The following is an 11,690-nucleotide window of genomic DNA, read 5'->3' as shown; positions in this document are numbered from 1 at the left end:
TAAGTTCTTTTCCATTCTGCGGTTATATATCTAAGTGGAGCATTTATGCCATATACATTCAATGTTAGTATTGAAATGCGAGGTACTATTGCATTCATCATACTCTTTGTTTCCTGTGTATTTTGGTTTTTTTTTTTTTGCTTTTTAGCTAGTATTTTTGTAATAGATCCTGTGTGATTTATTCCTTAAAAATATTCTGTTTTGAGTGTTTCCAGGATTTGTTTCAAGATTTAGGGTTCCTTTTAGCAGTTATTGTAGTGGTGGCTTGGTAATGGTGAATTCTCTCAGCATTTGTTAGTCTGAAAAAGACTGTATCTTTCCTTCATATGTGATGTATAGTTTCATTGGATACAAAATTCTTGGCTGAATAGTGTTTTGTTTGAGGAGGCTGAAGATAGGGCCCCAATCCCTTCTAGCTTGCAGGGTTTCTGTTGAAAAATCTGCTGCTAATCTGATAGGTTTTCCTTTATAGGTTACCTGGTGCTCCTGCCTCACAGCTCTTAAGATTCTTTCCTTAGTCTTACCTTCTTCCTCAGGAACACCAATTATTCTTAGTTTTGGTCATTTAACATAATCCCAGACTTCTTGGAGGCTTTTTTCATATTTTCTTATTATTTTTTCTTTGTCTTTCTTGGATTGGGTTAATTTGAAGACCTTCTTTTTGAGCTATGAATTTCTTTCTTCTACTTGTTCAATTATATTGCTGAGATTTTCCAGAGCATTTTGCATTTCTGAAAGTGTGTTCAGAGTGTCCTGAATTTTTTATTGTTTTTGCTTTAAGCTATCTATTTCCTTGAATATTTTTCCCTTCACTTTTATATCATTTTTTGGATTCTCTTGCATTGAGCTTTGCGCTTCTCTGGTGCCTCCCTGATTAGCTTAATAACTAACCTCCTAAATTCTTTTTCAGGTTAATCAGGGATTTCTTCTTGGTTTGTCTCCATTGCTGGTGAATTAGGGTGATTTTGGGGGCTGTTAAAGAGGTATGTTTTCTCATATTACCAGGGTTGGTTTTCTGGTTCCTTCTCACTTGGGTAGGCTCTATCAGAGGGAAGTTCTAGGGCTGAAGGCTGTTGTTCAGATTCTTTTGTCCCATGGGTGTGTTTACTTGTTGTAGTACTCTCCCCTTTTTCCTATAGATGTGGCTTCCTGTGAGCTAAATTGCAGTGTTTGTTGTCTCTTTTCTGGGTCTAGCCACCTAGTGACTCTACTCAGCTCCGGGCTGGCACTGGGGGTTGTCTGCACGGAGTACTGTGATGTGAACCGTCTATTGGTCTCTCAGCCATGGATACCAGTTCCTGTTCCAGTGGAGGTGGTGGGGAGTGCAATGGACTCCGTGAGGGTTCTTAGCTTTAATGCTCTAGTTTTGTGATGGTTGGCCTCCTGCCAGGAGGAATCAGCTCCAGGGAGTATCAGCTGTAGTAGTATGTATAGGGACCAGTGGTGGGGGTTGGGGGTCCTAGAACTCCCAAGGTTATATGCCCTTTGTCTTCGGTTACCACGGTGGATAGGGAGGGGCCATTAGTTGGGGGTGGGGCTAGGTGTGTCTGAGCTCTGACTCTCCTTGTGTGGGTCTTTCTGTGGCTGTTGTGGGGGATAGGGGTGAGATGCCCAGGTTAATGGAGTTGTGTACATAGGAGGATTATGCTGCCTCTGCTGAGTCATGCAGGTTGTCAGGGAAGTGGGGGAAAGCCGGCAGTCATAGGCCTCACCCAGCTCCCATGCAAACCAAAGAGCAGTTCTCATGGAGCCTGTTTCCAGGTGGTGGGCAAGATGGGCTTGAAAACTTGCCTCAGGCTACCTGCCTCTCAACTATGGAAAAAAAGGGCTTGGTTCTTCCCCTGCCTGTGGAGTCTGCACAACAGATTTGTGCCCTCCCATGAGTTCTGGCCAGGAGGCTTCTCGCCCTGTTCAAATTGTTACAAAGTTCAACTATAGATTTCTTTCTTCCTGTGGAGTTTCAACACCTGCTCCTCTGGCCACCCTCACAATGGATCCCTGTGGTGCCAAGCAGGAATGGCCTGTTTGGGCACCCAGTGAGCTCCCAGGGCCTTTCTACTGCTTCCTCAAACCCTGTATTTTGCTCAGCTCTCTAAATGGATTCAACTCCAGAGAAGGTAGGAAACTTCTCCCACAAAGAGACCTTCAGTTTCTCCAGTGGGGCTGTGTGTTCCAGAGAGGGGGGTCTCCCTTTACCACTTCCAGCGTCGGGGCACTGACAGTATTTGTGGTGTCTCTTGGGTACTGCAGAAACAGTTCGCTTCCTTCAGAGAGTCTGTGGGTACTCTCGGGATTGCTGGCTTGTTCTTGCAGTCAACCTGGAGCTAAAATTCACAATGCGAGCCTCTGCACACTGATCTATACAGAGCTGCAATCTAGTCCTACTTCCCATCCACCATGATTAACAGAACATTTTTGTCAATGACTGGCTGGACATCTTCATTGTTTGGAAACGTTCTTCTCATTTCTTTCTCCTCCACCTTCAATGGCTTCCAACATCACTCAGAGTAAAAGCCCAGGACTCTCCTATTTTATTATACTCTTTTGAAACATGAATTATAATGACCACATAGTATTCAATTGAGGATAATATCACAATTTAATTTATTAATCCTTTGAGGTTGGGCATTATATTGTTTCCAAATCTCAGTGTTAAAAATATTTCCAGAATGAGTATCTTTCTGTAAAAAGGTTCTACAAATCCTGTATGATTTCCAAAGTTAGATTCTTAAATAAGGAATTACTGGTCAAAAAATATAAGCTCTTAAATTTGTCTTAAATGCGTATTGTTAAACTTATTTACAATAAATGTTCACTATTTACTATTACTGTTAGCAAAGTATAATTCTCCCGTTCTTCCTGTCATTGTTTTTCCATAGTTCTCATTTTACTTAACCTGTGCTCATTTCAAACAATAAATTCATGTCCCGCTACCAATTTTAATTTGGGAGGCAGAATAGCCTGATGGTTAAGAGCCCTAATCTGGGAGCCAATTAGTACATTATAGTGCTGTCTCTTAGTTTAGTTTGACATTTATTTATTTTAACATGAGACCCTTCTAGAAAAGTGTTATTGGAAAGTTACAAGTCATATCTTCTCAGAAATCATCACTCCCTTTTCCGTGCTCCCACAACGGAATGTCTATGTTTCTAGGGATCATTTATAACACACAGCCTACTAGATAGGATTAAAATCATGCTTATTTACATATAGCAGGTTGCTTCCATAATGAATGCCTAGACCAGTGTAAGAATTGAACATACTAATATATTTAAGAAAATGAGAATATTCAGACAGTCATGGTCAGGATTAAAGATAACTATAGTGGTATTCTTAAAAACAAAGAATTTGTTGATCACCTATTAGCTACCAAATACTTTACAGAAAAGTTATTCAGTCACAATAAGTCTTATAAGTTAAGAACTGCCAGCTCAATCTACGGGTGTAGTGGATTGAATAGTCCCAAAATACATGTTCACTCAGAACCTGAGAACCTGACCTTATTTGGAAATAGGGTCTTTGCAAATTTAATTAGTTAAATATCTTGAAATGAAATCACTCTAGATTTAGGGTGGCCCCTAAATTTAATAAATGGAGTCCTTATAAGAATAGGAGTGGACACACAGACACAGGAAAGAGGGACACGTGAAAATGGAGGCATAGACTGGAGTGAGGCTGTCACAGCTGAGGACTCTCAGGAGCCACCCAAAGCCAAGAGGAGCAAGGAAGGATTCTCCCCTAGAGCCTTCGGAGAGAGTGTGACTCTGATGACACTTTGATTTTGGACTTCTGGCCTCAAAAACCATTAAGACGACACATTCCTCTGATTTTAAGCCACCAAGTTTGTGGCAACTTTTATGGCAAGTCCAGAAAATGGATACAACCAGTAAGAAAACTGATGCTCTGAGGACTTCAATTCACTTTTCTGAGCTTCAATTTTTATGCTGGTGTGTGGTAGTTTGTTTTTCTGGATTTCTAGCACAAATACATTTTGTGCAAACCTGCCCAGGCTATGAGAGATGGACAGCCATAGTTTTTCAGCACATGCAGAGAATGGGGTCACCATAAACTACCTGATGACTAAATGTAGTCTAAATTTAGTCTAAATTAGTTTGATTTAGAGATGTTTCCTTAATTTTAGTGACAGTTCATGTTGCATCTTCCCAGGCCGAGGTTGGAAAATATGCTCCTTTTACAGGGACACTGCTATGACAAACAATACAATTAGTTGGCCTTGAAACTTTCCTTTTTATGGCCTAATAAAAGTAACACTGCATTCACCAGACAACCAGTCATCTATCCCCCTCGTGGATCCCACTGTATAAGAGAAGCACATGCTCTGGTTACATTAACACCTCTGACCTCTCCCCATCAGATATGTCCAATAAGCAAGAACTGTTTTCCACAGCCCCTCTCACAAAATAATGGTGCATTCCTTTTACTAACTTTGAGAAAGATATTGCTAAACATGTATAGGGTTAATAATGTATTAATAATGTAAAGAAATTTGAAATTTCTTTAGAATGGTGTCTTTCATTTCAAGTAATGGAATGACCCCCGCCCCCCCCGGCTATTTTTCCCCATAGAGTGTGGCTATAGCATGGAGACTGGGAAGAAATTTAAGGTGTGACCCATCCCTTTGCCATCATGAAGGAAAGATTTGGTTTTGTACAATTTGAGTTTTCAAATGTCACTTTCTACAGAATTATTATGAAATATTTGACTTATGGTCCATTTATTGTACTTCGCTCTGAACATTAATCCTATAGTTTCAGTTTTCCAGAATTGTCCAGAAGTTACTAATTTATCTTATTCTATTTCTTCACCTCCCTCTCTTTCCTTTCATTAGACTATCAAGTAGTTAGGAAAGAAAGTCAGTGAGATGTCTCAGGCGTGACTCAGCTACGGAAACAATAGCAATCAGAGGACATTTGGAGATGAAGAAAAAAAAGAAACAAACTTCAATACAATGAGAAATATACCAGTACATGTATGACACTCAAGTAACATAATGATCTTAAGGCTAATTTACTACCTCCTTGTTGCCTGACAGGTCAGAACAATTTGTTTAGAACATGAAATCTGCTAGTAACTATGAGATGTTGGATGTGTCATTAGCCTCTCAAAAGTCTCCATTTCCAGGCCCAAAAAATTACGATGGGTAAATACTTGATGAAGTTGTTGTGTGTTTTAATTGCAACTGAGGATTAATTACCAGCAAGCATCAGTCACTACATATTTTTTATTGATCATATTCTGTGAGCTAGGCACTGTGCTATTTTCTGTGCTAGAATCACTTACTATGAGACAGCCTGAGTAGAATTTCCTCTACTGGACTTATCTTCAACAAAGACAATAAAAATTGTCATTATTTTCAACAAAAATCTGGAACTTAACCTGGAAACCTCACTTTTCTGTGCCAGGAGGTTTCATGGGCTTTTCCCATAGGCCATTCGGGTTTATCTATGTGGACCTCAGTTTTCATATTCTTCACAACTTATACTCAAGTTAGGGCCCTGGTACCTACACTTTATGTAGCTATAGAAGAGAGCAATGATATTGGTCTTATCTTACTATGGAAGAATTGCTATAACCTCATATTCATCTGCAAATGTGGACATTTGGAACAGTAAAGAAGCGATGAACTAAATTCTAAGCCAGGCAAAGGGAGTGTTACTACCCTGACCAAAAGAATTTTTTTAACATGGAGTCCCCAAGACAACGATGGTGACTGACTCAGTGCGTATTTTTCAGCTTCATCATAACCTCATTGCAAAAGTCAACACTGCTGAAATGTGCTTTCTTTTTAAAGCACCTTCTTCTCCTGTCTTTATTCATAAACACACGTATATCTGTTTCCTCTGACCTCACCAGCTGTTTTAACCCAGAGTCTTCTTTGCAGAATGTCTGTACAGTATTCCTCAGAATTCAGTCTTGCTTTACTTGTCTCTCTTCTCCCAACACAACCTCCCGAGGTGATCGAAAACATTCCAGTAAATATAATTTACAAATGTAAGTCTCTCATCATTGTATCACCGTGAAACATTAGTGAATATACATAGTGCTTCTATGAGATGTTTCCTCTTGGATATCTCAGAGGTATTTCAAAATTTACATGATGATTTTGTACAAAATAATTTTTAAGAATTATGAAAATTTTCAAACATACAAAAAACTAGAGTGATGAGCTCATGATTTAGCTTCTATAATTATCTAGAAAAATGAAATCTCTTCCAGGTATACACCTCCATCTCTGCTTTCACCACCACAGCAGAAAGCCTAATAAGTAGGACTATTTCTTAAAAAAAGAAAGCATTAAATATTCTCAACTAATTTTTTGTCTTCACTCTTCCATTCCAAATTATTATTAAGTGTCTTGGTCATAATTCCTGATCGTTCAAACTTTCCTCCATCAGGTCTTGGCATATGCTCATTTGCCCTTCCTTGAATACTGTTTCTTCTGCTCTTGACTAGGTCCTCTTTTTTATTAAACTGTTAATATTTTCTGTTTTTGAAAAGATCCACATTACCTAAAGTGTCTGTCCCTACGTTCCACAGAGACCTGGAACCAAACCCAGAACTTCACTTCCCTGTGCCAGAAGGATTCCAGTGAGCTTTTCCCACAGGCCCTACAGTCTTCTCCAGGTGAACCTCGGTCACTATCTATATTTATTAATGGTTTCTGTCCTGTAAATATCTTCTATAATAAAAGATTATATGTGATCACTTTTTAAAATCCTTTTTAATTCTAGACTATATAATTGCCATGAAGAATCGGTGTCTCGCTTACTATTGCAGCTCTAAAGCCTAGCATAGATTTAGCCTGTTCATTCGCTACATAAACGAACAAATGGAGTGAGGCAAGAAGAAGACTGTTGGAATTGGTTTAGTAGGGAATGGATAGCAGGAAGATTAAACCTCTTTGGAAAAAATTTCTCTGAATTTAAAGCAAAAACATAAAACAGTAATCAAATGGGAATGAAGGAAAAAGAGAATGGGTTGTTTTGTGTTTTTTAAAATTTTATTTATTATTTATTTACTTTTCTCCTGGATACCACACTGGAGTTTTTCATTTTAAATATTAATGGTACCAGAGCATGTCTTTGTCCTATTGAAAATTATCCAACAGAAATATGCATGCATATGTTTCAGGAGAAAGAGGATAACCCAACAGAGCAGGAAGGTGTGAGACACAGGCCCTTGATGGAAAAACTGACCTTTGATAGGGGAATGAACAATTCCTATTTTGTAGTAGGGATTAAGAAAGAAAGGCTGAGGAGCAGGGAGACTTACCAGTTGGTAACAGGAAAATGAGAAAGATAGTGTGTATGGATTTCTATTCTCTCAATATCATTTGAACAATGTCATACTTGAGAGTAGAGCCAGGAGGAGTAGTACAGCAGTTTTGTGAAGACAGTCATAATACAGTATTTATTTTGAGAATATAAACTGATTTTTCTAGAAAAACACAGAAGATATCCTGATGATACTGAGTGCCAGTTTTGGCTTATATTACACTTTTCTAGGAAGCTACTTAGGATGGCTGTGTGATCTTCCTCAGCAGCACAGCACTCAGCTGAGGGATTCATCTTGAATTTTCACTGCAGCAGGCATTATGTTGTCATTAGAAATATCTTTAACAATTGCTACAAATGAAGTTTGTCAGTATCTTAATGTACTAAGTCATGAGTAGGTAGCCATTATTACGCCCATTTTACTGATGAAGAAACTAGTGCTTAGAGGTGCGAAGTGACTTACCAAAGCTCATAAAGCTTGGAAGTAGGATAGTCAAGATTTGCAGCAGAACACTGGCTTCGACCTCATTATTTTAACTACTACATATAAACGCCAGAAACACAAAGTTTAGAATTCAAGGGAAAAGCAGATAGAAGAGTCAGCTGAGATAGCAATGTTCTAACCAAGAAGGGAGATGTGTGTCCCAAATACATGCAGAGACTAGGGCGCTTAGCGAGTTCCTTCCTGCTGCAACCTACTTCCAATCTCAGAGCCCAGAGAGTCCCTCACAACTTGCTAACTTTTGGTTTGCTCCTTTGTTTTTTTTTTCCTACAAATGGAAAAAGTACTGCTTAGACCTGAGTTGGGGGTTCATTCTCCCCAGTGGCCTCAAGCAAATGTGGCATCTGCCCCTCCTGGTCCAGCTACTCCAATAACTTTCTTTCCTTGTCAATCTGCCTCTTTCATTTTCTCTCTAATTAAACCAAGCATAAATCAAGGTACTTTACTTTTATGTAACCAATTTTTAAAAAAAGAATGAAATGCTCTCAGAAATTGGAGCCAAGTGCACAAGTTGAGAGTGGTGACATGTTTACATCATGTCAGAAATGATAAAGGGCTGTTTTCCAAATATATTTCCTCTCAAAGTACATTCAAGAGAGTGTATTATTTACTAAAACTGTGACTGCAGCTCATTTTTGTTAATAGGCCTGATTTCAGCACTAGCTATAATAGGAAAAACAAATCATCTTTCTATTAAGAGATATAAAGACAATTTTATCAAACACAATTTCACCTTTATATATGAATAGTAAAAGCTGTGTTAAATGGAAATTTTGAGCTATTAACAATACACATTGAATTGATTTTATTTTAATTGGTAGGCAAATATTGGCCTTGAGTCTACCACGGCCTGGCTGTAGGGCTGTAGGTCCTTAGGTAGTTTATTAAAACGTCCTCTAAAATTGCAGATCGTTCATGTATTACCTGTGTTTAACAATATTTACCATATTCCATTCAAACTCAGAATGAAATACTCCTAACTGTGGTATAATGCAACGAAGCTTAGATGGCTTTTGCTTGTGGATTTTAATCCCATCTCTGCCCTGTAGTTGTGAATCCAAGGGACATTAATTTTGTCCTATCTGATACTCAATTTCTTGCTCTGTAACACTTAATTTGCTTTTTTTTTTTTTTTTGACAGAGTCACACTCTGTCACCCAGGGTGAAGTGCAATGGCACAATCTCGGCTCACCACAACCTCCACCTCCTGGGTTTAAGAGATTCTCCTGCCTCAGCCTTCCAAGTAGCTGGGATTACAGGCATATGCCACCGGGTCCGGGTAATTTTTGTATTTTTAGAAGAGATGGGGTTTCACCATGTTGGCCAGGCTGGTCTCGAACTACTGACATTGTGATCCACCCACCTCAGCCTCCCAAAGTGCTGGGATTACAGGCGTGAGCCACTGCACCCAGCCTGCATGGTTGTTTTAATGAATAAATAAGATGACATATGTAAAAGGAAATACCAAGAGAATAGGATACAGTGAGGACATCTGCTTGTTATTAAGTGTTCTTTTCTCCCTTTCCATAGCATTTTATAGTCCTGTCTTTGGGTTTATTTAAAAAATAGGATTTGAAAATATTTAGTACTTTAAAATAGTAATATAAGTGTAAGGTTTGTAAGTGAAGAATATGATAATTTATAGGTAAAGTGTCATAGGAGACCTTGTCCACCAGGAACATCTTTGGCTTGAGTTGTATGCTACATTTGAATAAAGTAACACAGCTGCAGTAATTGCCTTAAGCTCACAGAAGTGTTGAACCAGAAGAATGCCAAGTTTGTGTAGAAAATGGCTGACATTTTCAAGCTAAGAAAATGATGGCACAAAATGTTAAATTGAACTTGACCGAGTAGGTTATGCTACAGCATTGCAAAAAGGACATGCTTGCTGAGGAATGCTTTGCAGATAATTTATAAATAAATCTTTGACTTTACAAAGAGAGGAATAAGAATTCCTAAAATTGTATAATCCCAAATATGGAATGAGAGTGGATTTGTCAATGAGGGTAGTGTGACACATGGTGGTTGATTGAGTGGTTCAGAGCAAGCCCTCTCCAGGTACCATGGAGTAGCCATCATTGATAGGATCCAAAAGGGACTGACCCTAACTGGGAAGCTGTCAGAAGGCTGCTTGGAATCTCATTCAAACTAGTGAACTGATGTGCGCTAACTTGCAGAGCATAAAGCAAAGGGAATTTGAAACCGGAGGCCTTCCCCAATATCCCCCTTACACTGCAGGAACATGTGCTTAGGGCTTACCCTACCAGTCACAGAGAAGCCAGCAGAATTGTTGTCTTTAGGTACAATTGCCCAAACTAGGCAGGTGTGAGTATTTATTCCCCACATCTTTCTACACAATCCTTATACCCATTCGTTCCCATACCTATTCATAACTATTTGTCACCCTTTCTATTTTCTCTAGAATTTTGTGTATTCACAACAACATTTGCTGCATTGGTACAGTGTGACAGATACAGCACTGAGTACTGACAAACTGGGGATATAATTATTAATGAATAAAGGCAAAAGCATGACACTTAAGGACATAATCTAGTAGACTGTAATGTGATGGTAAGGAAATGCATGTATGCATGTGATATATACATATGATATATAACATACATAAAATAAATAATTATATATAATGTATAGATGTGAAATAAATGAAGATCATGTGCATGAGTCGAATGGTGTCCCCACACCCTGAAAATTCATATATTGAAGTTCTAATCCCAAGTGCCACAGAAAGTGACTTTATTTGACAATAGGGTTGTTGGAATGGAATTAGTTAAAATGAGGTCATCCTGGAGTGTGGTGGCCCCTACCCTAATATGACTGGTGCCCTGAGAAGAAGAGGAAATTTGGAAACAAGCATGCACAAAGGAAGAATACCTCAAAAACATGAAAGCAGAGATTGGGGTGATGCATCTACAAGCCAGGGAATATTAAAGATTGCCAGGAAACCACCAGAAGAAGCTAGGAGAGAGGCCTGGAACAGTTCCTGCCCTAGGTCCTTCACAGGAAGCATGGCCCTGCCAACTTCTTGATCTCAGACTCCCAGCCCCCAGAACTGTGAAACACTATGTTGCTCTTGCTTAATCCACCCAGTGTGTGGTACTTTGTTACAGCAGCCCTAGCAAAGGGATACACACAAATGAAAACAAAAGAAGGTCATTTAGTTATAAATTACATGTATATATGTGCACACACAGAGCAATAATTTCAAATATCATAAAATCAAAGATGCTCATTTTCTGGAAACAGAGCTCAAACTGACAAATTCATATATTGTCATGAGATTTAAAAAAATACTTTCCAATTGGAAAGTGAAAAAAGATAATTTCTAATGAGCTCTTAAGACAAAAACATTATATTACATCAAACACAGTTGTCCCTGGAACAACATTGGGGTTGGACACTAACTTGCCCCACCATTAACTACCAATAATTTCAACAGTAAATTAAAACATAAGTTTTATGTTATGTGTATTACACACTGTTTTCTTATAATAATATAGAGAAAAGAAAATGTTATTAAGAAAATCATAAGGAAGAGAAAATATATTTATTATTTATTAAGTGGAAGTGTACCATCATAAAGGTCGTCATCCTCTTCACATTGAGTAGGGTGAGGGGAAGGAGAAAGAGGAGGGGTTGGCACTGCTGTCTCAAGGTGGCAGACGTGGAAGAAAATCTTTGTGTAAATGGACCTGCACAGCCCAAATCTATGTTGTTCCAGGGTCTGCTGTATTTATCCTTGGTATGACAACTTCAAAATGATAGTTATAGTCAAATGTCGTATCTCTCAAGACATTATTATATGCTTAAGCTTTATATTTGTGTCTTGAATTAATGAGAGCTAAATGACAATAGCTTCGGTGCTTACTATGCAC

General features: G+C 38.5%; 1 long non-coding RNA gene across 5 annotated transcripts; it reads left to right on the top strand.

The window, feature by feature from the left end:
- Window positions 1–1,542: 1,542 nt before the first annotated feature.
- LOC105373594 (uncharacterized) lies at window positions 1,543–10,343 on the top strand. Of its 5 annotated transcripts, none has more exons than XR_923289.3 (4): window positions 1,543–2,117; window positions 4,850–5,739; window positions 6,559–6,645; window positions 10,220–10,343. It is a non-coding gene; the product is annotated as an uncharacterized LOC105373594 (long non-coding RNA). The 5 variants fall into 5 exon arrangements; XR_923288.1 differs by lacking the exon at window positions 10,220–10,343 and adding an exon at window positions 8,939–8,974; XR_923291.4 differs by lacking the exon at window positions 10,220–10,343 and having other exon boundaries at window positions 4,850–4,990; window positions 6,559–6,723.
- The last annotated feature ends 1,347 nt before the right edge of the window (window positions 10,344–11,690 follow it).

Source organism: Homo sapiens, chromosome 2, assembly GCF_000001405.40.
Source record: "Homo sapiens chromosome 2, GRCh38.p14 Primary Assembly".
Taxonomy (NCBI): domain Eukaryota; kingdom Metazoa; phylum Chordata; class Mammalia; order Primates; family Hominidae; genus Homo; species Homo sapiens.
The sequence above is the reverse complement of the archived record's forward strand: the minus strand, read 5'-3'. Positions and strand labels throughout refer to the sequence as shown.